The sequence below is a fragment of the Homo sapiens genome, chromosome 1 (genome assembly GCF_000001405.40).
Source record: "Homo sapiens chromosome 1, GRCh38.p14 Primary Assembly".
NCBI lineage: Eukaryota > Metazoa > Chordata > Mammalia > Primates > Hominidae > Homo > Homo sapiens.
Window position 1 is genome coordinate 228,393,666 of NC_000001.11, and position 24,925 is coordinate 228,418,590.

Consider the following 24,925-nt stretch of genomic DNA (forward strand, 5'->3'; position numbering starts at 1 on the left):
GCAGGATGACTTGTAGACAACAGCCAAAGTTTATTTAACGTGGGAATGCTTACAATAAATAAAGCAGAGGGGTAAAGAGAAACAGAACAGTACCTTGAGGACAAAGAAACCCCAAACCCAACACAAAAATCAACTCCTGCCTTCTTCTGTATGCCCCAGGCTCTGAGAAGCCACTGTTCCTCCCCAGGGTAGAGAGACTGCAAGGCCGGCGGCCAGCAGTGCACATCCCCAAGCAGCAGCTGGGACCCTGGGTCCTGAGGGGCCACTGGAGACCTAGGAAGCCTTTGCAAGGGCAAAACCCAATGGCAACATGCCCACGAAAGCTTCAAGTCAGAACGTGGGCCTGCAAAAGACATTTCTGGGCTCTGCTCTCTCCTCTAGGCCCACACACCTGCTGAACAGACATCTGTGCCCAGGCACCTCCCAGAAGCCCCTTTATTATAGGACATCTACTCTCTGTTCCTGTCCTCACTGGCCCCTCCCATCATCTCTCTGAAGACTCTTATTATGGCTGCCTCCTAATTCTTCCAGAGCAGCCACACCCAGGACTGTGACGGGCTCTCACCCACTGTGGGGTCACAGACAGGCATGGGGCTGGCTCCCATCCCAGCTGCCTCCCCCAGCATCTTCAGAGGTGGGGTACACAAGACTTTCAGGGGGCTGGCAAAGCTGCAGGAACTGTGCAGCTTAGGTGAACCCTGGATTCTGCAAGCCCCAGTGGAGTTTTCTCAGCTTCTGGAACCACAGGCCAGAGCTGCCGGGGCAATGGGGCTCCCAGCTTTGGTAAGGGCTGTTGGCATTAAGTGGCACCCGGTGGCTGGAGGGGTCTCCCAGGGAGGACGGAGCCTGCCCCACACTCTCCCACAGTTTCCTGGAGTGCTAGAATTGGGGTTCTCCCACGCAGGCTCAGAAAGGCACCAGGAGTTCCTCCTCTTGCTCAAAGGACACACTCCCTCCTCCCAGGTCCTCCAAGTGGCCAAAACACTCAGTGGCCTGGAGGGGCAGGAGAGGCAACAGGACTCCTCCAGGAGGGCCCGAGTCACTGGGGAGCCAGGGTGTCCCCGGACCCACCTTTCGGCCGGCAGATAGTCATCGGGGTCGGGCTGCTGGACAGGGGTGAGAAGAGGGGCCGCAGCGTCCCCGAGAAGGGGATCTCGGGAAAGATGAATAGCAGTGACCCATCGGTGGCACTGTAGAAAGAGAGATGTCCAGCCTCGTAGTCCAGAAAGATCCCCACGCGCCTGGGTGGGTCCCGGAGTGGAGCCAAGGCCCGTTCCGAGGAATTGTAATAGCTCCCCAGGAAGACCAGGATCCAGAAGCCGTTGCCCGCGGACAGCTCGCCCTTCTCCTTCCTGTTCACGTTCTCCCTGCACACCCCCAGGGCCCAGCTGGTGCGGTCCCCAACCTCCACCTCCCAGTAGTGGCGGCCTGAGGTGAAGCGCTCCTGGCCCAGCACGCAGGGGCCGGGGTCAAAGCGCTCTGGGCTGTCCGGCAGGGCCTGCCGTAGGTCCCCCCGCTGCACGCTCCGCCTGTCTTCAGACAGGATCAGCTCAGGGTTGGCGGTGTCCGGGTCCAAGGTCACGTCCCCTGCAGAGAGAGGCCCAAGGTCACCCAGGCACAGCCACAGGCAAGCTGGGGCCATCTGCCCATGTCCTGGGCATGTAGGTACAATCCTCCCAGTCGGACGGCCTGGCTCTCTGCCCTGGGCCTGTAGCCTCACAACCTCCTGGAGTAACTAACTGTCTCCAAGTGGACATCCTCTCCCCACTTAGCTACGTCCAGTTGCAACTTACAATGTCCTACAAATTGGTCCATGTTTTGCCTTCAGATATCAAGAGGGAATCTTGGTTGCTTTTTTTTTTTTTTTTAAAGAGGCAGGGTCTTGCTCTGTGGCCCCAGGCTGCAGTGCAGTGGTGCGATCATGGCTCACTGCAGCCTTGATCTCCTGGGCTCAAATGATCCTCCCGCCTCAGATCCTCCCAAGCTGCTGGGATTACAGGCGTGTGCCACCATGGCTGGCTCATTTTTTTGTTTTTTATTTGTAGAGATGGGAGTCTTGCTATGTTTCCCGGGTTGGTCTTGAACTGATGGCCTCAAGCAATCCTCCCGCCTGAGCCTCTCAAAGTGCTGGGATTACAGAGGTGAGCCAATGCATCCAGTCTGTTTTTCCTTTCAATCTCCAAATGAAGGATGTGAATTAGGGCAGCTGTCCCAACCCTGACCACTCCGATTTCAGATCTATCCACCTCTGGAGGCCTGCACACAGTTCCTACACAACAGGCTCCTGACCTGCTAGCAAGAGCTGAGGATAGTACTTCCTTTGGGTGACTGTGATACAAGACTCAGATTTGGGTTTTGTGCCCAGTTCCTGGCGCAGAGCTCACAGAACCCTGGGAATTTCCTGACTGATAGAAGCATCTTGTGCTATCATAAGATGCCCCTTTCCATCACACCTGAGTTGATGCCACTGCAGTGGCTGAGGTGGGGACCTGAGAGCCCAGCATAAGGCCAGCCACCAGAAAGACCAATCCTGTCAGTAGAGGGCGGGAACACTCAGCCCCAGCCTCTGACCTCAGGAAGGGGAAAGGGGTCTGAGGTTGAGCCCCATCACCAATGACCAATGATTTAATCAATCATAACCATGTAATGGAACCTCCACAAAGACACCTAAACAGCTCTTGGGGCTCAGGGAGTTTCCAGGTTGGTGAGCACACTGAGGTGCTGGGAAGGTGCACCCAGGGAGGGTGGGAAAGCTCTGAGCCCTTCCCCAGGCTTTGCCCATGTGTCTCTTCCATTTGGCTCTTCCTGAGTGGTATCCTTCACAATAAACCAATGACAGTAAGTAAAGTGCTCTTCTGAGTTCCATGGGCTGTGCTAGCGAATGCTCACATCTGCAGAGGCGCTGAGGGAACAGAAGTATGGGCAGCCCCTGGAAGTTGTGACTGGCATCTGAAGTGGGGGCAGTCTTATGGGACTGAGCCCTTAATCTGTGGGGTCTGTACTAACTCCTGTAGTGTCAGCACTGGCAATTCTGTTCAATGCTGAATGGAATCCTTGGATACCCAATTCGTTTCCAGAAGTTGAAGAATTGTTTGGTGTGAAAATACCCACACAACTGATGTCAGAAGTATGAGCAGAGGACGTTTTCCCAACAACCCACCACCATGACACTGTGAGTTTGGAGCTGGCAGTGGCAGGGCACAGAACACGTGGCTGGCTGCCCAGGTCCTTGGCAGGTCCCCTCCTGGAGTCATCTCCCCACCTGGGGCCTCCACACCTACCTCGAAACCTCCGCAGTGTCTCTACCAGTCCCGGGACCCTGCACACGGTCCTCAGCTCCATAGGCACAACTTCTGGGGGCTGCAGCTTCACATCCTGGACCCTAGAGGGGACAACCCAGGTGTTGTCGCCATGGCCAACAGCTGGGTCCCACCCCACTCCCTCCTGCCCCCCCTCCAGGAGAGGCTGGGTTCGTACCTGCGCAGGGCGTCCTTGATGTCCTATGTGGGGAGGAGAAACAGCACACTCGGTGTCAGTGACCATCGCTTGCTCCTGGAGTCCCCTCCCCGCCCCTGGAGCCTCGCCCCGTCCCCCTCTCCTACATTTGAGCGTCAGGCAGCAAAAACACACACAGGGGGCCATAAACCACCCGCAGCAAGGCTCAGACACAGGAATGCTGGACAGAGGCTCTGACATGTGTGCCAGGAGGCATCACCAATGGGGTGCAGCCCAGCCCTGCGGACCAAGGCCCACTTCTGCCTGACACTTGGATGTAGGGCATCTGGCTGTTGGCTCACTCACCCAGAGCCCCAAGTGGGCGCCTCTGGGTGCCAAGGACAGGACAGGCACACATCCCAGCCTTCAGCATAGGGGCACCTCCACCCCAGCTGGAGCCCAACCCTGTGGTTGCACTGCTTCCTCTCCCAGCTCCACCTGCCCTGCAGGCTCCCTGCTCAGCCCCACTCTTGGGCGTGCGTCCTTCCTGTGTCACTGCCTGATACGTGATAGCATCTGACTCCATGTTAGGGCCCGAATTGTGTCCATCCCGCCAAATCCGTATGTTGAAGCCAGAAACTTCAGGACTTCAGAACTTGACTATTAGAAAAAAGGGCTTTTAAAGAGGAAATCATAGTAAAATGAGGCCATTAGGGTGGGCTGCAATCCAAAATAACTTGAGTCTCATAAGAAGGGGCGACTAGGACACAGACACCCACAGAGGGGAGACCCTGTGAGGATACAGGGAAGAAAAGGCATCTACAGGCCCAAGAGATAGGCCTCAGGGGGAACCAGCTTTGACCTCAGTCTTCCAGTGTGCAGGACTGGGAGACAATCAGTCTCTGCTGGGGAAGCCTCCTGGCAGGTGGTACTAAATGTGGCAGCCCGAGCTGGCGTGATACACCCAGGTATTGGAACATCAGCTCTTAGGAGACACGGTCTTGTATCTCTTAGAGCAGTCTTCAGTGCACTGCAAGGATTTAACCCACACTGTCAAATAGACGATCCCACACCATGTTCATTCTAACACACGTGGTGCCAGCTACCAGGCCAGGATGCAGAGGTCAGTAAGACATAATCCCAGACAAGGGTTTCCCTACATGTAGGAGAAATGGCAAAGGAAGATTTCCACACATACGGGTAGTTAATTCTGTCTAGGGGGACAACAACACACTCTAGGCCCCAAAAATTTTTTAAAAAGGAGGCCAGCACTTTGGGAGGCCAAGGCAGGCAGATCACTTGAGTCCAGGAGTTCAAGACCAGCCTGGGCAACACAGCAAGGTCCCATCTCTAAAAAAAAATTTTAAAATTAGCTGAGCTTGGTGGTGTGTGCCTACAGTCCCACCTACTCAGGGGACTGAGATGGAAGGATCGCTTCAGCCCAGGACATCGAGGCTGCAGTCATAATCACATCACTGTACTCTAGCCTGGGCGACAGAGTGAGACCCTGTCTCAATAAATAATTCATAAATAAATAAATAAAGAGGAGACTCTTGGTAGGGTTCTGAAGCCCAAGAAGAATTTGTTGGTAGACACAGGGGGAGTGCGCAGGGTGAGGGAGGGGTGTGCACAGGGCAGGGGCAGATGGTGCTGGTGTGAGCAAGGCAGCTGGGAGCAGCTCCACCTTGGTTATTCTACCTGGGGTGGGCGGCCCACCCCTGGTGTCATTTGGAAACAGGTGGTGGCTGTCACAAGGCCGGGTGCAGGGGCGGCAGGAGAAGGGCTTGGGGGTAGAGGAGAACCTTGGCCTCGACAAGGGGGTTTGGTCTCTGCACAGAACACGGGCCCTCCAGGGGCAGCATTGACTTGAACAAAACCACTCTGCGGCTACAAGCAGGGCCTGCTGAAGGGGGCAGCCAGGACCCCAGAGTCCATAGCAGCCAGGGCCCCAGAGTCCACAGCAGCCAGAGCCCCAGTGGGTGGATTCCTGGGAGTCACTCAAGCCTTTACCTCCACTGTGCAACCCCTGTCCATTCGGCCTGGGTGCTGGGAACCCGGGTTGGGTTCCCCTACCCAACCGGGGGCCAAGGGTGCAAAGCCATCCCCACCTGTCCCTCTCAAACCAGCACACAGCTCACATCAACACAGAGCTGCTGAGGCTGCTCTCCTGCAACCCCCATGTGGGCAGACCCCCACAGCATGCAGGCCATGTGCTGGCAGGTTGGGGGGACAGGAGGGACCTCCCTGAAGCCTTGTAGCCAGGCCAAACCTGGGCAGGGAGCTTGGCCAAGGCATGGACGGGTGGGCCACTCAGCGGGGTGAATGCAGGTGGGTGTATGAGACCCAACACCCACCCACCCGCCCACATGCCACAATGTCTCAGCTGAAAGCCCAAATTGCATCTTCACACAAACCCTGTGGGTCCCCATTTCCAGGTCAACTCACCTTCCTTCTAAACCCTTCCTGGCTTCTCCAACACCTGTCCTCTCTGCCCTCCCTGAGGGCTCCTCCTCAGTCTTCTGGGTACCTCCCCACCCCACAATTTACTGACCACAGGACCCTCTCCTAATATTCCTCAGTCTTTCTACAGACGCTAGCCGAGCGTCCTTCCCGCTTCCCAGGCTCAAAGCCAGCTGATGTCCAAGCTGGTGCACGCGGCACACGGAGTGGAGGAGCAGATGCTGCAGACTTGGAGGTGGGGGAAACTACCTACTGGGTACAGTGTGCACCATTCGGGTGATGGCTACACTCTGACTGCACTTGTACCCCTTAAATCTACAAAAAAAAAAACAAAAAAAAAAAAACAAAAAACAAAAAAACAGAAAAAAGCTTACAATAGAAATGACAATCGAAACCAGGAGCCGGTGCCTGGACTGATGTTCTGCTGGGCTCCAGAGGCCGGCAGCAGGTCACCCCCTGTGCAAAGCCGCCCAGCCACATCTGCAGCATTGTGGGCTCCACCTGGGTCTGGCAGCCCTGCCCCACCAGTGGCTGAATTCACTCACACACGGCCTCTCTCCTCTGTGGGAGCCAGAATTGCCCAGGGGCCCATTTCCCTCTGAATCTTGGGGCCCCTTGAGTCTACACCATGCTGGGCATGGAACACGTTCTCCATTTTGTGGGAAAAACATCCAGCTGAACCCCACGGGAAGATGATAGCAGACACTCCCAGCCCACACGGGGCCTCTCAGCATGGGAGTGCCGTCAGTCCTCATCAGTGCACGCTTGCCAAGCGGAGAGAGCTGACTCCAGGCCCCCTGACCTGCCGCCAGGCCACAGGCCAGGGCGTCCACTGGTTCTGGTTTGGGGGTGCACCAAGGAAAGCCCAGGCCCAGGGGGCCGGCTCAGGGAGTGGAGCCCACACATGGGAAAAGACTCTCCTGGAAGCAGAGGAGGAGGAGACTGCCCCCCATAATGGAGATGCATGGGGTGTGCCAGCGGGGTGAAGACAGAGTGAAGGGCGAGGACTTCCTGCTGGGGACACCATGGCAGGAATCCTATGGGAGGCCCAAGGTGGTCCCAGCGAGCACATGCCCACTCTGCTGTGCCCACAGGGAGCAGCAGTGTCAGTCAGGACGAGATGGAGTGACCTTATGTAATCACTTAAGAAACATCAACTGTTTACATCTACAGAGGAAAATTGATTTTCCCTTTCTCGGCACGTGGGTTTTGGGGGTGGGACATCTGTCCTGCTGCTGACTCAGCATTTCACAGGCAACAGCCAGGCACATCCAGCCATGCCATTCACCTCTCAGCCCAGACAACCTCTCTGCCCCTGCTTCTTGCACTTTCTGGTTCTCCCTCCCCCAGTGTGGCCAGGCCATGCCCGTGTGGCCACCATGGCTGCTCCCCGCCCAGCTCACCTGCAGCAGCCCCAGAGCAGGCAGCTGGCAGCGGCCCTCGAGCTCGGCGATGAGCTCAGCTAGGTGGGCGCTCTGCTGGCCTAGGTGGGCTGCGCCCTCCCGCAGCCGGGGCAGCACCTCCAGCTCCTCCTCCTCCAGCCTCTGCAGCAGCTGCTGCTCCTCCTCTGCCAGCAAACGGCGAAGACGCTCGAACTCACCCAGCACGTTCTGCCGCTGGCTCTCCACCATCTTCTGTGGAGCCCAGGGAGAAGGACAGCTGAGGCCAGACCCCAGGCCCAGCCAGACCCCAAGTTTGGTCAGACCCCAAGCCCACCCAGAGGCCTGGCTGCACCCAACCCCACCCCCGGGGCCTGCTAAAGCCAAAGCACAGCACCAGGTGTGGCAGGACCCCAAACCCACCACCTGGTGCTGGCCAGACCCCAAACCCACCTGTGGCACCTCCCAAACCCCAAATCCACCACTCAGGGAGAGCCAAATCCCATTCTACCACACAGGACTGGCTAGACCCCAAATCTAAACCCAGGGCCGACTAGATCCCAAATCCACTATCTAGTCCCTCCCCAACTTCCAAATCCACCCATTGGCTTGGTAGAACCCTGCATCTACCACCTGGGGCCAGCTGGACTACAAATCTACCACCCAGGGTCCCTCCTGACCTCCAAATTCTCCCCTGGGGCTTCCCAGATCCCAAATCCACCACCCAGAGCCTCCCAGACCCCAAATCTACCCCAGAACTGGACAGATCCCAAATCTACTCCTCAGGATGGCTGAATCCCACATCTATGACCTAGTCCCTCAAAACCTCCAAATTTACCTCCAGGGCCCAGACCCTAAATACACCTGAGAGTTGCCACCCAAGCATGCTGGGACCCCAGGATGGGGCCCTTGCAGTATGGGAGCCCACGCCCACGACCTGGCAGGACAGGTGCACGTGGGAAAGGACCAGCCCTTCAGTGGGCTCGGTGGGGCCAGGCTGAAGCAGTGACTGGTCCTGGGGCGCCAAGGGCAAGTGTGCCTGGCCAGCATCGCCCCCTGGGGTCTCCTATACAGGACCTTCACCCCCTACCCTGCCACCCAGGACCCTGGGAGCCCCAGCACCTGCCTGCCACAAGACGCAGGTCTCATCCGCCTGGGCTTGGAACAGCAACGCATCCTGCATCTGCTTCCGGAGATGCTCCAGTGACTTCTCCAGCTTCGCCTGCGGGAGAGGCCAGGCAGGACCATGAGACATGAGTCCTGTCACAGAAGCCTGCCCTTTTGCACCTGACACCCTGTCCCCTCCTCAAAGACAATGGGGACAAACTGAAATCTGCCTGGTGAATCAGGGAACTCAATGCCCTCCAATAAGCGTGAGCCCTCATGGTAGGTGGGCAGCCTCTTGCCAGAGGCTGACAGCCCCAGCCACATTCTTTCCTTTTTCTCATATGGGGCATTTCTAGTCCTCGACCTTGCTACCCTAGCCCAGGCCTCACCCCCCTTTGCAAAGCTACCTCAAGGGTTCTGGCTGCCCACCCCATCTGTCCCCAAGCTGGCTCTGAAGGTGCTGAGCTCTCCTGTTCCCAAGCCAGTGTCTACTCCTCCTCCTCTTCCTTCTCACCTGCTGGCTCACATAAGGGCCTTGGACCAAGCCTATGCTGGGGTCCAAAAATTCTGCCCTATGCCCCCACAAATTCATAGGTTGAAATCCCAACACCCAGTGTGATGATGTTAGGAGGCGGGGGCTTTGGGAGGTGACTAGGTCAGGAGGGCAGTGCCGCCACAATGGGATTAGTGTTATAAAGGAACCCTCGCCCCTTTCACCATATGACAACACAGTGAGAGGGTGTTGTCTGTGAACCAGGAAGCACCCTCACCAGACACCAAACCTGCCAGGGCTTGATCTTAGACTTCCAGCCTCCAGAGCTGTGAGTCTCCAGCTTGTATACATCTGCCATGTGCAAACCATGGTGTTTTGGTAGGACAGTCAGCACGGACAGACATGCCTGGCTACCCACCCTATCTTTTCTCCAAGCCACTCGGGACCTTGTGCATTTTCAGCTTCATCAGCTATCACTGTAATAAGCTCCAGGATGGGTACACCTCCATTCTGCTTTCTTGGTCCTTAATTCTCATTCCCACGGTTCCTCATGCTGTGCATACCAGGAAGCAGTGAAAATCCTGTACACAAGCTCACTGTACTGTGTGTGCTTGGGGTGCCCTGAACCCACTTCTCGAAGGGTCTGCTCACTTCCACCCCATCTGACACCCTTATCAGCAACGGGCCCTGTGCTGGCCACACCTCTTTGCTTCTCAGCCACCCCAAGTCTTGGCTCTCATCTCTCGCTATCCACGCTCTGGAAGGATGGAGGTGCTGGGAGGGTCCAGAAGTCTGCCCCGGTAGCAGAGCCAGGACTTCAGCCCAGCTGCCTGGCTCCAGGTGCTCACTTTAGTTCACCACTTGGCCTCACGATTCGGGAAGACCGCTGGAGCACCAAGGACATGTCCAACTGCTTTACTGTCTCTGCCTAGGCTCAGCTCTCACGTGAGCTACAAGAACCCCAAATGGCGGTCCCTGTCCCCAGGCCTCTCTCCTCACTGCTGCCGACCTGTTCCAGAAAACTCAGGCCTGGCCCCTGTGACCCCAACCCCACCTCAAACACTTGGCCCAGTGCCTCTCACTTCTCCCTCAATGCCTCAGTCCCTACGGGACATTTTCAGTTTTCTTTTTTTGAGACGGAGTCTCGCTTTGTCCCCCAAGCTGGAGTGCAGTGGCACGATCTCGGCTCACTGCAACCTCTGCCTCCTGTGTTCAAGTGATTCTTCTGCCTCAGCCCCCTGAGTAGCTGGGATTACAGGTGCCCATCACCACACCCAGCTAATTTTTGTATTTTTTGTACAGATGGGATTTCACCATGTTGGCCAGGGTGGTCTCAAACTCCTGACCTCAGGTGATCCGCCCACCTCGGCCTCCCAAATTGCTGGGATTACAGGCGTGAGCCACCACACCTGGCCAACGTTTTCAGTTTTCAACACTAAGGTTACAAACAGCATTTGATCAGATGGAATGGGCTGTAAAGCAGCACAACATACCCAGCATGGCAAAGATCTTGCATTTCAGGTACCTGCATCTTTGTGTCTCTGGCCAGATCAGAACAGAAACCTCTTACCCTGCGTGTAGTCAGAACTGGGATGCTGGGGCTTGGTGCAGGCCTGGGATCTTCCCTGGCCTCCTCCTTCCTGTGGCAAACCCCCTCCCCACACAAGTGCCATCTGACACACAACCCAGAGAGATCTGGGGGCCATCTTCTCTCTCCCATGGTGCTGCTTCCTGGAACTGGAGCTTACTGGGACTTCCCTGTTTACCACCTCGGGGCAACCCAGCCTGGGGCTTGTTCAGCTGTCATGACCCCAGGTCAGGGCCAGGCAAGGAGTGAACCTGTCATGGAGCTAATGGGCCCCAGCTCTGGCAAGTGGACACACAGCCCCATAGGTGGGACTGAGCTTTCTAGGCCCATGGGGGCAGGTAAAAGCAGTTTGCTGTGGTTAACATAACCTAGGCTCTAAGGCAGTGAAGAACAGGATGTCATCCCCAAATATACCGCTGTGGTACAAGAATTATTCTGAGTAAAAGCAGATGCAGGAAGAGCTCTCTGTACTCCTATCTGCCTAAAAGTAGGGTATTCATTCCCCATGAGAAAGGCACCCTCTCTCTACCAGGAAGAGGAGGGCACTCTAATCCTGGGAGATGATTCTGCCTAAACAGACCTTACTACAATGACCATTATCTTGTGTTAATTCTTCCCATCTATTTCCTAGTCACTTTCCCACAATTTATCAGTCCTAGACGCCCAATCCCATTTCTGTGTCCAGTCACTTCTCCACAATTCACAAACCTTTGCTGAAATACGCTTTTCTATGAAGTTCTTGTGCATGTGAAACTTAAAATATTAATCAAATTGTATGATTTTTTTTCCTGTTAATTTGTCTTGTGCCAGTTTAATTTGCAGCCCTGAGCCACTGAACCTAACAGGGTAGAGGGAAATTTTTTTCTTCACCTGCAAAAGAAAGGGTTAAGTGCTATCCCATGAAACTATATCGAGTCAACTCTATAGAGCTATTGGGCACTCTCTGCACCCATTGGGGTAATTGGTGTCACAAGGGTAATTCTGCTGGGCTAACATGTTTCAGGTGTAGACATTCCTGCATGGGCAAAGAAAAGAAAACCCAAATGAATCTGTGTCTGAACAAGCCCACGGATATGGCTCTAAACCACCTTTCTGCTAAAATCCAAAGCAGAAGGGGACAGATTCAGATTTATTCTAGTATCCCAGAAGTTTGCTCTGTGATAGGGACAGATCAAGCTCAGTACTGATTCTAACACTGCCTTAACTGCTCATCTGGCACACACAAGTGACCATGATGCAACACACAAAGTGCAATCAAGAAAGCTCCAAAGATGCTGCCATCTGCCCCACACGTAGGCTCCCAGGAGCACACCTGCAGCAGGTCAGCGAGGAAAGAGGACAGCGGGAGGGAGCGCAGGCCAGGGAACGTGTGCCCCAGGCCCTTCAGCTCGGGTTTTATTTGGGTTTTAAGCAGCAAGACAAGGGGAGAAAAGGCAGGCTGAGCCCTGGCATCTCAGATGGCAGAGATGGCTCCCAGTACCCCACCCAGAAATGCAGGGCAGCCCTGGAGGGGAGGTTAGAGAGGAAACGACTGTGTCCCCCTCATCCTGCCCAGTCTGGGGCTTTCCCAGGACTTAAGTACTGACCTGCTAACACAGTCCCTGCAGGGAGTCCATCTAGGATCGGCCACCTCTGAGGTTCTCCCACTTTCCTCTGATTCCAGCTCCTTGCTGGCCAGGGTATGGCCACATTTTCCTTGCCCCCACTCCACCACCTTCCACCTTCCACCTTCCTCTCTTAGCCTCTATCTATGAGAGGTACGCCCCTCACCCCCGAGAGCAGGGTCTCATTGGCGGCCATGGTCCCAGCCTCAAGGGGCCTGGTTGAAACAGGCTGTGTCATGAGCCCCCACAGCCACCCTGCGCGACACCCCCCTCACAGGCCCACAGCAGGCTGCATCCTGAGCTCCCCGCCCTAGACAGAGACAGATTACTCCCGGAGCAGTCCCCCAAACCTCCCACCCGCCCAGGCCTCCCCAGTCCCCGGCTCCCCGACGCCCCTGCACGCCACCCCCGCCCAGGAGCACCTTGAGGTCTTCGGCCGCGTCCTGCAGCGGCCGCACGCGGTGCGCCCAGTGCTCCCCAGAGCGCTCGCAGGCCGCACACAGGAGGCGCAGCTCGTCGCCACAGAAGGCGGCCAGTGGCTCGCGGTGCGCGGGGCACACGCCCTGCGGGACCGGCGACGGCGGGTGCAGGCGCCGCGCCATCTCGGCCATCTTAGCAAGCGGGCGGTTGGGCCGCAGGTTCCTCTGCGGGGACAGCTCGCGGCACTCGGGGCACGCGTACGGGCCCTCGGGCTGGCCCCAGCAGCGCCGGATGCACTCGCGGCAGAAGTTGTGGCCGCAGTCGGTCATCACCGGATCCGTGAAGTAGTCGAGGCAGATGGCGCAGGTGGCCTCCTCCTGGAGGTTGGTGGACAGGTCGGGGGCGGCCATGGCGCGGACAGAGGGGAGGAAGGCGGTACTGTCCGCGGGGCGGCGGCGGGCGGCCTCGGCAGCTCGCGGGGACGCGGGGTATCCGGGTGCGGCGGCGCAGGCTCGGGCACTCCGGGGCGCGAGGCTCGGGACTCCCGGGTGCTCGGGCTCCGGGGCGCGGGGACTCCAGGGCGCAGGACTCTGGGTTTCGGTAGCGCTGGGCGCGTAGGCTCCGAGCGCTCGGGGGACGCGGGACGTAGGGATCCCGGATGCCGGCAGGAAGAGGAGCCGAGGCGGAAGCAGGAAGCGACTGGGTGGGTTTTGTGTGTTTTTTTTTTTTTTTTTTTTTTTTTTTTTTTTTTTTTGGAACAACCCGCTTTTGCCTCCGATTGGCCGCTGCCAGTCACGCGGCCCGCGGGCGGGACGGAATTGGAGAGCTTTCACTTGCTGACCTGGCGTCACCACCGCTCCGGTTCTTGTGGCCAGGTCTTTTACCCCTGCCCTGGGGAGGACTCAGGCGCAGGGGAGGGATGGGGACAGGGGGCGGGGCGCAGGGGAGGGATGGGGACAGGGGGCGGGGCGCAGGGGAGGGATGGAGCAGGGGGCAGGGCAAGGAGGGATGGGGACTCAGGGCGGGGCACACGGAAGCAACTGCAAGGACTAAGGGAGTCCGCAGCCTGGGGCATTGGAGCCCTTCGCCATACCCCTAGTGCGTCCTCACCCCCTCAGCCCGTGCTTCCCAGGGCGGGTATCCTCGGAAGGCCCGGCCCTCACAGCCTTGGCAGGCCAAGGTCAGAATGATTGGAGTTGGGGGATGGGACGGGGGCATCCCTCCAGGACCAGCTCTCCAGGAGGCCCACATTCTTTCTGCGGGAACCACTCCAAAGGGGCATGCTGTTCCAGGCAGCCCCTCGCGCAGACACTCCGGCTTTGTCGAGGTAGGAGTACGCTTACTCTGGAATTCTGCCTTGCTAGTGACTGACACAGGCTGTTAAAGTGCTTGACCCTGCAGGGGTGGGTGGGGGGTTCCTTGGAAAAGGTAAGGGCGCTGTGGAAAAGAGGCCCCTACATAAATCCTAATCTCTTTGGGATTTTGCCCCTGCTCGTGCAACTTTGGGGATCGAACGGGATGGGGGTGGGCAGCTCTGAGGCTTTTTACGGGTTCAGCCTTTCCCATTTTCCCCCATCGAAGGACCCAATAGGATGCATAGGACATTTCTATGGGCAGCCTGGGACCATCCCTGACACAGCAACCACCCCCGCTCCTCCCCACCATAGGATATTTCTACTTCTTTGACAGAGTAACCTAAACCCCTGGGGGGGCTGGGAGCCACAGATTCCTGTCATTCCAAAGTGGGGGTGGGGGCATGGCTAAAAAAAACGTGACCACGCTGTTCCTGGTGTGTAGGTATGGATTTAGAAATCGGTCCACTCAGAACGCAGGGGCTTTCAAAAGTTTCCTCTAGGAAGCATCTGTCAGTATACCCTCTTAATGTTTGACAGTTCTAATCACAATTATATTTAGAATTTGAGAAACCCCCCTGTGTGTCTAATGGCTGCCAGCGTGATGCCAGAGAACCCTGGCAGGTGGCCTGCAGTAAGCAGAAGGCCCACACCTTCTGCAGAGCCAGGAGCAGTGCCCGAGTCCCCCGGTCTGTGTCTATCCTTTCACCCACATGGTCACTGTGGAGATGACCATCTGACCAGACTTCGGAGCCCCCAGGCAGAAGAAAGGCTGCAGGGGGCCTGGGAAGGTGGCCTGGGAGTAGGTGTGCAGGTGGGACCCATCGCTTACACTGTAGAAGGACACTTCCCCGGCTTCGAAGTCCAGGAAGATGCCCATGTGGCTGGGAGGCTCCATCAGCATGACCGGGGTTAGGGCAGAGAAGGTGGATAAGTACTTGGTCCCCTTGGACAGCTGCACCACCCAGAAGCCGTTTTCGGGGCACTTGGGGACCCTGTCTTTCCGGCTCACGTTGTCCCTGCACACACCCAGGGCCCACAACGCGTCCCCGGTGATGTTCATGCCCACCTCCCAGTAGTGCCTCCCAGAGGAGAAGGCCGTCTGGCCCACAGCACAGGGGTAAGCCACAAATCGGTCCTTGCTGCAGAACCCACTGCCCTCCGGCGAAGAGCCGAGGTAGCGCCTCTGGCGGCTCTCATACAGGAGGAGGTAGGGGTACGCGGAGGTGGCATCAGGCACCACATCCTCTGTAGATGGGCGTGGTGGTGGAGAGATGGGGAGAGGTGTGGGGCATTCAGGGTCAAAGGTGGGAGTCCCCGGGCCCTAGTGGTGGATGTGGCCAATGGTCCCCTAACTCCGCAGAGGCCTCCCCTGCTGTGAATCTGGGGTTACTTGATGCTTCCACACACCAATTGTGTGTGGGCCTTGGTGGCAATAAGGTACAGGGGGCTGGGCAGAGAGACCACTGGGAACTCAACAAGATTCATCCCATGAATTAGAACCACCAGTAACGCCGCCCTACGAAGGCACAGTGAATAGCCAGTGACCGTCACCAGGCAGTGCACTTGTAGAACCCCCCCCATTGGTGGCTTCCGAGGCTAGGGGGTACAGTGGGGCATCGCCAAGAGATCCTGGGTCAGAGGTCCTGGCCCTGGGTGCCCACTTACCTAGAAAGCCTCTTAGCACTTCAATCTGTCCGGGAACTCTGCACACAGTCCTGGGTCTGGTTGGGGGGGCAACCTCTGGGCACTGCACACTCACGTTGTTCTTCCTCCGGTGGGCACACACAGGGGAGTCTTATTGACTCCCCTGGCCCGACAGTCTTATTGTCCCCCCCGCCCACCGCTGCCACTGCCCCCGCCCCTGCCTGAGGGGACCACATACCTGCTCAGGGGTTCCTTCATGTCCTGCAAAAGACAGGGACGGAGGGTGGGGAGTGAGCCAAGCTCCTGGCTCACCTCAATGTCCCTGCTCCCTTCTTGTCCGTGTCTTAGGGCAAGACCCATCCTGTCCCCTGGGCATTCCCTTCCCACAATTGAGCTTCATGGCACTCCTGAGCCTTCCCCACTGCCCTAGCTCCCACTACCACCAGAGCCCCCAGTGCCTCACCTAAGCTGAGCTACCCTGTCAGCCCACGGCCACACGCCTGAGGTCCTGCAACTCAGGAGAGGCGGAGGGACCCCTTCCAGGCAAGTGGCCACTCAACACTGACCCTCCTCTCCCATTTCAGGTGGGTGCAGCCCACTCAGCAGGAATGGGGTGGGGGCGCAATTGGGTGCAGTTTGGGGAGGGAGGGGGGTGGGTAAGAGACTGAGGCACCTGGGGATTTTCTGTAGCCTCTTTAGGGATTCAGAGTTCCCTAAAGAGATCACTGTTTACTTCTCTGGCCTGGAAGCTACAAGGGACTTGTTTTCCAAAGGCCATATTTCTAGTTGCCAGAGCGTGACCCTAACTCTAGGCAGGGACTCTCATGCAGGTGGCGCGCTTGGCCCTCTGCTCATAGGAGCACCCTTCTACCAGCTGCAGGGGCTTTTCCCTCAGTTGGTCAGCAAACCAATGTAGTGGGTTGTGAACAGGCTGCTTTGTTTTTCCTTTTCCTTTTTTTTTTTTTTCCTAGATGTGATCTCACCATCACCCAGGGTGGAGTGCAGTGGCGCAATAGCTCACTACAGCCTTGAACTCACGGGCTCAAGCAGTCTTCCTGCCTCAGCCTCCTGAGTCCTGGGACCACAGGCGCACGCCACCATGCCCTGCTAATATTTTTAAGTTTTTGTAGAGATGGCGTCTTATCAGCCGTAATCAAGCCCCCTCTCCAGGGCCATGGCACACAGGCTGGTCCCGGCAGACAGGCTGGCTGCTTCACCTCCCCACTGCCGTTGCCACACAACTCACTCCTGGGACAGTGCACCTCCTCCACACCGAGACATGGAGTCCCTGTCCCAAAGCCACACCTGGCTGCCAGGTGTCCCAAGCCACCTCTCTGGACTTGGAAGGAAATGGGGACACTGTCTCAGGTTGGAACCTGTAAGGGGCTGACTTGTGTCCCCACTAATTCACAGGTTGAAGCCTGAACCCTCAGGACCTCAGAATGTGACTGTGTTTGGAGATAGCATCTTTAAGGAGGGAGTTGAGGTCACTGGGGTGGGCCCTAATCCAGTCTGACTGGTGTCTTTATACAAGGAGATGATTAGGACAGAGACGTGCATAGAGAGATGATGCCATGAGGACGCGGGGAGGAGACGGCATCTTCAGGCCTAGGAGAGAGGCTCAGGAGGAACCAGGCCTGCCCGCACCTTGGCCTCAGCCACCCAGCCTCCAGGACTAGCAGACTGGGAGCTAACAGCCCTTTCCCGTTGGCTGCCTCTTCCCCAAGCCCAGCGCCCCCTGCCCATGCCTGTCAGAGCTCACATCCCACCCTGCCTGCCAAGCCTACTGGCTCACCTGCAGCATCTGGAGGGGCCCCTGTGTGCTCCGCTCCTCCAGCTGCAGCAGCAGCAGCTCCAGAGAGTGACCCTGCCGGTCCAGGCAGGCCACGCTCTCCCGGAGCCTGCTGGCAGTCTCCTCTTCTTCCGTCTCCAGAGCCTGGAGGAGCCTCTGCTCTTCTTCCACCAGGTAGAGGTTCATCTTCTCAAACTCCAGCACAATGCGTTCTCTCCGCTCCTTCACCTTGCCCTGCAGGAGTGGAGAAGCCCAGCATGTTGCCAGCAGGTGGCTCAGCTCCAGGGATGCTGGCACCTCTCCCCAGGGCCCTGGTGACCCACAAGATCACCAGCAACTGGAGCTTTAGTTGGGGACCAGGAACTGTGACAGAGGCCCCCACCTCTGCCATCCTGTGATACACTGAGTGTAACCCTCCGAGCCCCGAACTGCAACTTCTACACATCCAAACACCCATGCACCCTTGCTCTGAGGAGGTTCAGAATGTCCACCCCCAGATAAGCCTCTTGGGCATGTTAAACAAAATTTATGGGTGGCCATTGTTTTTTGTTTTGTTTTGTTTGAGACAGGGTCTCGCTCAGTTGCCCAGGCTGGAATGCAGTGGCACTTATTGCAACCTTGACCTCCTGGGCTCAAGTCATCTGAGTAGCTGGGACCACAGGCATGCACCACCACATCCAGCTAGTTTTTAAATTTTGTGTAGGGACAGGGTCTTGCTCTGTTGCCCAGGCTGGAGTGCAATGGCACAACCACAACTCACTGCAACTTTGACCTCCTGGCCTCAAGTGACCCTCCCACCTCAGCCTTCCAAGGAAGTGGGACGACAGACATGTGTCACCACCACCATGCCCAGCTAATTTTTAATTTTTTTGTAGAGACAGGGTCTTGCTATGTTGCCCAGGCTGGGGTTCAGTGGCATGATCATGGTTCACTGCTGTCTCAGACTCCTGGGCTCAGGTGATCCTCAGGGGCCACTGTTTTGAACTGGGCTCCTGCGCTGGGTCCTAGAAGACCAGACCCAACCAGAATGGAGTCACTGGTGCTAATGAAACCAAGGGGTTCACTGATCAGGTCAGCCTGCCCTGATTGCTTTTTGTTATTTTGTTTTTCCTTTTTCCATGAAGCTGAAGGCTGTGCCTCTGAATGCTGACGCCCACCCTTCACTGGCTCTTTATAGATAATATTCACAGGTCACCATGGGACTGGTCGCTTCAGGAATGTGGGGCAGCTCCTGTCCAGCTGAAACCAGTTGAGACCATCTGCCCTTCAAGTGGACCTGTCCCAGTGCCCGAGGTGGCCTTTTGATGTGAGAGGGCCAAAACTTCCAACCTCAGATCATGCTAAGGCTGCCGTTTCTGGTACCTGTGTCCTGTGAAATGCCATGCACCCCGACGACACCTGCACAGAATGGGCCTGCTGGACCACCCTGCCTCCGTAGTTCATAAAGACTCCCAAGCTGTATCACTTGGGAGGCAGGTTTAAGAGCTGTTCTCCCTCCTCTTCACTCAGTGGCCTTGCAAATAAATCTTTTCTCTTAGCTGGGTGCAGTGGCTAACGCCTGTAATCCCAGTGCTTTGGGAGGCTGAGGCGGGAAGATAGTTTGAGCTCAGGAGTTCAAGGCCAGCCTGGGCAATAGCAAGACCTTGTCTCTACAAAAAAAAAAAAAAAAAAAAAAAAAAAAGCTGGTCTTGGTGGCAAGTGCCTGTAGTCCCAGCTACTCAGGAGGTTGAAGCAGGAGGATCACTTGAGTCCAGGAATTTGAGGCTGCAGTGAGCTATGATTGCATCACTGTGCTCCAGCCTGGGCCACAGAGCGACTCTGACTCAAGAAAAAAACAAAAAATAACAACAAAGATCTCTAAATCTGTTTTAATTTTGTGTTTTGACAGGCATTAGGATTAAGGTTAACTAAAGGCCATTGAGAACCCGCAGAAGCAGGAAAACCTGTTTGCCTCCCCCATTAGCTGCCTAAAAAAATAAAGTGCCTGGCCTGGCGCGATGACTTATGCCTGTAATCCCAGCACTTTGGGAGGCCGAGGCAGGCAGATCACCTGAGGTCAGGAGTTCAAGACCAGCCTGACCAACATGGTGAAACCCCATCTCTACTAAAAGTACAAAAGTTAGTCGGGCATGGTGGTGGGCACCTATAGTCCCAGCTGCTTGGGAGGCTGAGGCAGAAGAATTGCTTGAACCCGGGAGGCAGAGGTTGCAGTGAACTGACACCGCACCATTGGATTCCAGCCTGGGCAACAAGAGTGAAACTCCATCTCAAAAAAAAAAAAAAAAAAAATTAAAAAGTGCCCTTTCATGAAGGAATTTCCAGTGGTCAAGGCATCTATACCAGAAAGAGAGTTCCAAAAACAACTCTTCACCTGAGACACTTGTTTAAATACTTAACCAACATCACCTGCCTCCCCAGCCCAGAGGCCCCCAAGCCCTATTCCTTTGTGGTGCTGACCTACGCCCCTGCCCTCTGGCTGCCTCCTTTGTGGTATTGAGCCCCCACCTTCTGGCTGCCTCCTTTGTGGTACTGAGCCCCCGCCCTCTGGCTGCCTCCTTTGTGGTACTGAGCCCCTACCCTCTGGCTGCCTCTTTGAGTCTGATTTTTGAGGCCCCTTCTCTCCACCCTATGTGTGCATCTGTAATTTAAAATTGCCTTTTTATCTTTTTCTCTGCTGTTCATCTGTCTTAAGTCAGTTTCATTCTGAGGCCAGCCACAGAACCTAGAAGGGTAGAGGCAACTTTCTTCTTTTCCTGCCACTGCGGCAGCATATCCCCACGGGCAGACACAGACGTGGAAATGCAGGAAGATGGAGCAGCAGCAGGAAAGGGACTGGACAGCCCTGGGCACCCACCTGCCACTCGGCTAAGCTCTGCTCCTCCCTGGCCTGCAGATTCCCTGTCCTGGTGATCTGCTCCCGAAGGTACTCCATGTCCTCCTCCAGCTTCAACTGTGGGACACACAAACCGCAGGATTTGGGATCAGCGATCCCCCTACCTCCTGCCTAGAGTCCAGTTGTGCTCGCTGAAACTGCACCCACCCCAGAGACCCTCCTCAGGAGGGGCAGGGGATCAAAATACGTCACCCAGAATGTGCCACCTTGGATTATTTTGAGCTGAAGGCACTTAAAAAAGGGCAGGTGTAAGAATTGCTGTGACCCTCGGCCTTCCTAAGAGCAGAAGGCACAGCCACCATGCCAGAGAGGACTGCCCTAGGCCAGGAGGAAAGCCATGTTCTTACCAAGGGCGGGAAAGCCGAAACCAGAGAAATCTGTGCAAAGGGACCCTGCTAAACTAACCCTCATCCTCCTCAGGTACATGTTTGGCTCTAACATGCTTCCATGGGCCTCTGGCTCCTTGGGAGCGACTCCTGGGTCATGGAAAGCTTACAGGGAATGAATTTCAGTGCTTTGCTTCTGCTTATCTGTCTCAAATCAGTTTGGTTCTCAGAGCCACCCAAAATACTCTGAGAGGAGAGGTAAGATTTTGCAATGCCTGCATCATACAGTGTAGGCCCACATTGTCCCCAGGGACACCCCTACCCAGCCACAGGCCACCTTGTCCCCTGGATGCCTCCTCCCCAGCCCCTGACTCGGGCCACTTTGTCCCTGGACACCTCCTCCCTCCCCCATGATCTGGGTCACCTTGTCCCCCTGGATGCCTCCTCCCCGGCCCCTTGACCTGGGCCCCGATGTGGCCTACCTTGTACCCCTGCACTGCCTCCTCGGCGGGCAGCACCCTGTGCAGCCGGTGCTCCCGGGACTCCCTGCACACCACACAGATGGGGCTCTGGTCCTTCTGGCAGAAAAGCTTGAGGGGCTCGTGGTGCTCCTGGCACAGGTCTTGCTTCTGCAGACCAGGATGCTGCTGCGCCATCTCGGCCACCTTGGTCAGCAGCCGGTTGGGCAGCAGGTTCCTCTGCGGGGACATCTCTCTGCACTCGGGGCAGGGGAAGGAGCCCTTCCGCTTCCGCCTCCCCTTCTTGCCCCTCGCCTTTTCCCAGCTCAGCTGGATGCAGGCTCGGCAGAAGTTGTGGCCACAGGTGGTCATCACAGGGTCTGTGAAGTAATCCAGACAGATGGAGCACGTAGCTTCCTCCTGCAGTTTTCTGGCGAGTTCCACAGCCTCCATGGCTCCTGGGAGACACGAGGCAGGTTCCCGCTTGAGGGACTCTGGAGAGAGTTGGAGGGAGCAGCCCGATGATCTGGGCGCCGGCAGTGTGCAACCGTCCTGTACAGCCTCCCTTTACAGAGGAGGGCTAGGACTGCAGTCCAGTTAGAGAGTCCAGAGTCATCATTTTTAGCCTTGTCAACAACAGACACAGATGCCTCCCCAGAAACTACACAGACCCTCCCTGACCAATGCTCTGCAGGCCCCTCCGCCTCTCCTCTCCACTGGGCCTGGACCCTACCCGTCCACTTCCGCCTGCTGCTGGCTACCCCCAGCTCCACATCTCATCAGCTCCTCCTCCCCGACAGACCGTTGCCGGCTAGGCCTTCAACCTGCCTTTCTGGAGAAGCCTGCTAGGTCAGCTTAGGGAGAAGCCCCTACCCTTGGAGCCTTCCCTTAATCACTTTCCATCCACTGACCCCACCCAGATCCCCACTCCAACTCCCCCATACATCCCCAGCTGTCTTTGCTGGCGCAACTCTCCCATTGCAAGTAGCCTGACTAAAGAGCCTTTCAAATGTCAGAATTTTTTCTTTAACAAAACCCCGTACACCAAAGGAAGAAGGGATGGGCTATCAGAGGAAAAAAGCTCTCTTCCATTCGGTAGTGAGGTGGGGTTCAGAAAAAACACGCGTGTGCATGTACGCACAGACGAACACCCATACACATACCCATGTATGTATACAAACGTGCATGTGCACACACGCATACCCACGCATACACACCACACAAATACAAACATGTACGCACAGAAACACTGATCCACAAACACAGCACACACAGGCACAGATGCACATATCGGTAAACATACATGCATGTACACACAGGTACACGCGCGCACACACGCACAGGCACACAAGCATGCACATAGATGCCCCCTGCAATCTCAACACTCGCGACCCCACGCAGTGGAGATCTACAGACTTTCGCCTACGCCACGGGGTTGCTATGGGGACCGAGTTGCAGAAGGAGTTGAAAATCGCGTCTACACTGCAAGCACGATTCTCCCCTTCCGTTCTGCCATCCCCTAAAGCGAGGGCGTCTAGGGGTCTCAGACTTCCCCGGCTCTGTCCCACGTCCAGTTTCTCGGAGCTTTCTGCACGCCAACCACCCGGCGCCAGCCCTCCGACTCCCCCCAAGAGCCCTAACGGAGGCACCCAGCCCACCCTGACCGAAGCCGGGCAGGGACAGCGGCAGCGGGCCTGGGGCTCTGGCTCTGGCTGCCGGGATGGCTGTCCTTCCCGCTCTGGTCCGCTAGGGTCCCGGTAGAGTTACCTTGTTGAAGCGCGCTAGCCCCTCCAGGGACGCGGCGGCCGGCGGAGGCGGGAAGGCCGGGCGTTGGAGGGCGAGGAGGACCGGGTTAGGCTTAGGTCGTGGCCCAGGCGCCACAGGAGGGTAGCCTAGGCGGCGGGGTGGGGGCTACTCACCGCGGGGAAGGGGGGCCCGCACAGCGCCTAGTGCACCTGGCCGAGCGCTCGCTGCCGGGAAAGGCTGGGTCTGCCCCCACGAAGCCCAGGAGGCTGCGGCCCGGCCCGGGGCGTGGGGACCTGGGGTCGGGAGGCCTAGGGACTTTGTGGCGTCAGCGGGGGCTGGGGGGCGGCGGGGGAGGGGAATGCTGGGCGAGGGAGTGTTCGGCGGCCGGGACTGGGGCGGCGCCTCTTAGGAGAGGTTGGGGGTGGCTTGGGGAAGGAAGGCGGCAGGGGGTGGAAGGCTCTGGACGAGCCGGGGACAGGCGCAGCGGGTGCTGACTGGGCGGTGGGGAGGATGTGGTCCACAGCCCAGCGAAGGGAGGAGTCTTGTTGGCCTGGGGTGGGACTTTTAGGGGAGGTTAAGGGAGTGTGGAGGGTGGGGAGTTGGGGGGTTACTTGGGGGTGGGGAGTGGAATGGGGACAGCTGGTGGGGCTAGGGGCGGGCAGGCGAGCGTCAGGGTGGGGGGAGTGGGATTGGAAGAGGCTTCTCAACCTGGGGTTGGGGCTGCGGGAGGGCACGCGAGCCCCAGGCTGGAGGGTTAGGTGAGGGGCTAAGTTGGTCGGGGTAGGGGATGGAGAGGAGTTTGTGTGGGCTGGGGTGGGGGCGAGGCAGCAGGAGCGAGTGCCTGTTGAGAAGCTATGAAGGGGGTCCCCAGGAGCAGCCAGTCAGCCGCCAGGTCTGCCCACATGGTTGGCAGTCAGCATCAGGCTGAGGGTACAGGGAGGGGCGTCCCAATCCTGTGGGCGGACCAGTTTGGAGGGACCACCTGGCAGGTCAGGTCCCCTAGAACCAGGCGGGACGGGGTGGGTCTTGCCGACACCCCAGGTGGTTTTGTTACCAGAAACAGGTCCTGATCCAGACCCCAAGAGAGGGTTTTGGATCTTGGGCAAGAAAGAATTCGGGGCAAATCCATAGAGTAAAGTGAAAGCAAGTTTATTAAGAAAGTAAAGGAATAAAGAGTGGCTACTCCATGGGCAGACCAGCCCCCAGGGCTACAGGTTGCCCATTTTTATGGCTATTTACTGATTATATGCTAAATAAGGGGTGGGGTATTCATGAGTTTCCCAGAAAAGGAAGGGCAATTCCAGAAACTGAGGGCTCCTCCCCTTCTTAGACCATATAGGGTAACTGTGACCTTGTCTTGGCATCTGTAAACTGTTGTGGCACTGGTGAGGGTATCTCATAGCATGCTAACGTATTAAAATTAGCATATAATGAGCAGTCATGATAACCAGAGGTTATTCTGGTCGCCATCTAGGTTTTGGTGGGATTTTGCTGGCCTCTTCACCACATACTGTTTCATCAGCAAGGTCTTTATGACGTGTATCTTGTGCCAACCTCCTATCCCATCCTGTGACTTGGAATGTCTAACCTCTGGGGAATGCAGCCCAGCAGGTCTCAGAATTATTTTACCCAGCCTCTATACAAGATGGAGTTGCTCTGGTTTAAAAGTCTCTTACGGTTTCAGCCAAAATGCCGCCCCCAGCCCTGCCCAGGTCCTGACTGGTGGCCATTTCTCCTGGCCTTGAGTCCCCACGCCTAGTCATCACGCTTCATCCTCCAGTAGAGGGATGCACCTTTCACATGGAGGGTTCATCTCCTGCTTTCAGGAACAGGAGCCAGAGGCCTGCGTGCCCTGAGTCAGAGTCCTGGGATTGGAGAGAGAGGACAGATGAAGAAACTAAGGCTTGGCCCACACAGGGGGTGCAGACAGGCAGGAAAACAGGGCCTTGAAGGCTAAGAGGCACCATTCTGCAATCTCCTGGGTGTGCGGGTGTAGACAGCTGGCCACAGGCATAGATGGCTGGCTTTCCCTGGGCTCACTCGGTAGAGTGTTTCTTCTGTGGTCTCTCATCACTCGCACACACAAAGGGGTCTGTGTGCTGTCAGGTGCGGGCTGGCTGCGCACACTGGCCGATTAAGTGAATTACCCTTGTGAACCCAGAATATCTGAGGCTAGTTTAAGTCAATTAGGAAGTTTATTTTGCCAAAGTTAAGGACACACGCCC

At 56.8% G+C, this 24,925-nt stretch overlaps 2 protein-coding genes, 2 long non-coding RNA genes and 1 other non-coding gene across 19 annotated transcripts, besides 8 other annotated features; 2 read left to right on the top strand and 3 right to left on the bottom strand.

The window, feature by feature from the left end:
* Positions 1-10: 10 nt before the first annotated feature.
* Positions 11-13,170, bottom strand: TRIM11 (tripartite motif containing 11). Of its 3 annotated transcripts, none has more exons than XM_017002412.3 (6): positions 12,489-13,170; positions 8,401-8,496; positions 7,299-7,526; positions 3,478-3,500; positions 3,282-3,382; positions 11-1,587 (listed from the first exon to the last, which is right to left on the bottom strand). In XM_017002412.3, exons 1-6 carry the CDS (start codon positions 12,894-12,896, stop codon positions 1,040-1,042), a joined length of 1,404 nt encoding a protein of 467 aa, XP_016857901.1. In that variant the 5' UTR covers positions 12,897-13,170; the 3' UTR covers positions 11-1,039. The 3 variants fall into 3 exon arrangements, with proteins under 3 accessions (XP_016857901.1, NP_660215.1, XP_011542587.1); NM_145214.3 differs by having other exon boundaries at positions 7,299-7,529; XM_011544285.4 differs by lacking the exon at positions 7,299-7,526.
* Positions 625-3,302, top strand: TRIM11-AS1 (TRIM11 antisense RNA 1). The gene is made up of 3 exons (NR_199157.1): positions 625-783; positions 2,046-2,141; positions 3,078-3,302. It is a non-coding gene; the product is annotated as a TRIM11 antisense RNA 1 (long non-coding RNA).
* MIR6742 (microRNA 6742) lies at positions 3,383-3,444 on the bottom strand. The gene has a single exon (NR_106800.1). It is a non-coding gene; the product is annotated as a microRNA 6742 (primary transcript).
* Positions 6,111-6,786: an enhancer, noted in NCBI's record as "H3K4me1 hESC enhancer chr1:228587477-228588152 (GRCh37/hg19 assembly coordinates)". NCBI's record gives its function as "activates a minimal SCP1, AML or CMV promoter by ChIP-STARR-seq in naive H9 embryonic stem cells {active_cell/tissue: H9 hESC(naive)}" and the evidence as "EXISTENCE:reporter gene assay evidence [ECO:0000049][PMID:30033119]".
* Positions 8,139-8,813: an enhancer, noted in NCBI's record as "H3K4me1 hESC enhancer chr1:228589505-228590179 (GRCh37/hg19 assembly coordinates)". NCBI's record gives its function as "activates a minimal SCP1, AML or CMV promoter by ChIP-STARR-seq in primed H9 embryonic stem cells {active_cell/tissue: H9 hESC(primed)}" and the evidence as "EXISTENCE:reporter gene assay evidence [ECO:0000049][PMID:30033119]".
* Positions 12,882-13,121: a silencer, noted in NCBI's record as "silent region_1917". NCBI's record gives its function as "represses an Ori minimal core promoter by ATAC-STARR-seq in GM12878 lymphoblastoid cells {active_cell/tissue: GM12878}" and the evidence as "EXISTENCE:reporter gene assay evidence [ECO:0000049][PMID:35858748]".
* Positions 13,182-13,271: a silencer, noted in NCBI's record as "silent region_1918". NCBI's record gives its function as "represses an Ori minimal core promoter by ATAC-STARR-seq in GM12878 lymphoblastoid cells {active_cell/tissue: GM12878}" and the evidence as "EXISTENCE:reporter gene assay evidence [ECO:0000049][PMID:35858748]".
* Positions 13,412-13,481: a silencer, noted in NCBI's record as "silent region_1919". NCBI's record gives its function as "represses an Ori minimal core promoter by ATAC-STARR-seq in GM12878 lymphoblastoid cells {active_cell/tissue: GM12878}" and the evidence as "EXISTENCE:reporter gene assay evidence [ECO:0000049][PMID:35858748]".
* Positions 13,832-13,881: an enhancer, noted in NCBI's record as "active region_2694". NCBI's record gives its function as "activates an Ori minimal core promoter by ATAC-STARR-seq in GM12878 lymphoblastoid cells {active_cell/tissue: GM12878}" and the evidence as "EXISTENCE:reporter gene assay evidence [ECO:0000049][PMID:35858748]".
* Positions 14,073-14,732: an enhancer, noted in NCBI's record as "H3K4me1 hESC enhancer chr1:228595439-228596098 (GRCh37/hg19 assembly coordinates)". NCBI's record gives its function as "activates a minimal SCP1, AML or CMV promoter by ChIP-STARR-seq in naive H9 embryonic stem cells {active_cell/tissue: H9 hESC(naive)}" and the evidence as "EXISTENCE:reporter gene assay evidence [ECO:0000049][PMID:30033119]".
* On the bottom strand, positions 14,270-23,196 carry TRIM17 (tripartite motif containing 17). 13 transcript variants are annotated; one of them, NM_001438323.1, is made up of 7 exons: positions 22,874-23,196; positions 20,979-21,334; positions 20,132-20,227; positions 17,281-17,511; positions 15,724-15,746; positions 15,507-15,610; positions 14,270-15,086 (listed from the first exon to the last, which is right to left on the bottom strand). In NM_001438323.1, the coding sequence occupies exons 2-7, from the start codon at positions 21,324-21,326 to the stop codon at positions 14,536-14,538; spliced, it is 1,353 nt and encodes a 450-aa protein (NP_001425252.1). In that variant the 5' UTR covers positions 21,327-21,334; positions 22,874-23,196; the 3' UTR covers positions 14,270-14,535. The 13 variants fall into 13 exon arrangements, with proteins under 13 accessions (NP_001425252.1, NP_001020111.1, NP_057186.1 ...); NM_001024940.3 differs by having other exon boundaries at positions 20,979-21,412; NM_016102.4 differs by having other exon boundaries at positions 20,979-21,448.
* On the top strand, positions 15,606-19,592 carry LOC124904537 (uncharacterized). Its single transcript, XR_007066918.1, has 2 exons — positions 15,606-16,069; positions 17,020-19,592. It is a non-coding gene; the product is annotated as an uncharacterized LOC124904537 (long non-coding RNA).
* Positions 22,655-22,764: a silencer, noted in NCBI's record as "silent region_1920". NCBI's record gives its function as "represses an Ori minimal core promoter by ATAC-STARR-seq in GM12878 lymphoblastoid cells {active_cell/tissue: GM12878}" and the evidence as "EXISTENCE:reporter gene assay evidence [ECO:0000049][PMID:35858748]".
* Positions 23,197-24,925: the final 1,729 nt, after the last annotated feature.

What these genes read in the sequence shown, in the direction of transcription:
- TRIM11 (NM_145214.3), bottom strand. Translation starts at nt 12,896, where the DNA reads ATGGCCGCCCCCGACCTGTCCACCAACCTCCAGGAGGAGGCCACCTGC. An exon ending in AGACCTGCGTCTTGTGGCAG is followed by an intron (nt 7,530 to 8,400) that starts GCAGGTGCTGGG and finishes TGGGCTCCACAG; the next exon opens with AAGATGGTGGAGAGCCAGCG. An exon ending in ATCAAGGACGCCCTGCGCAG is followed by an intron (nt 3,383 to 3,477) that starts GTACGAACCCAG and finishes TGTCCCCTCTAG; the next exon opens with GGTCCAGGATGTGAAGCTGC.
- TRIM17 (NM_001024940.3), bottom strand. Translation starts at nt 21,407, where the DNA reads ATGGAGGCTGTGGAACTCGCCAGAAAACTGCAGGAGGAAGCTACGTGC. An exon ending in AGGCAGTGCAGGGGTACAAG is followed by an intron (nt 20,228 to 20,978) that starts GTAGGCCACATC and finishes TGTGTCCCACAG; the next exon opens with TTGAAGCTGGAGGAGGACAT. An exon ending in ATGAAGGAACCCCTGAGCAG is followed by an intron (nt 15,611 to 15,723) that starts GTATGTGGTCCC and finishes TGCCCACCGGAG; the next exon opens with GAAGAACAACGTGAGTGTGC.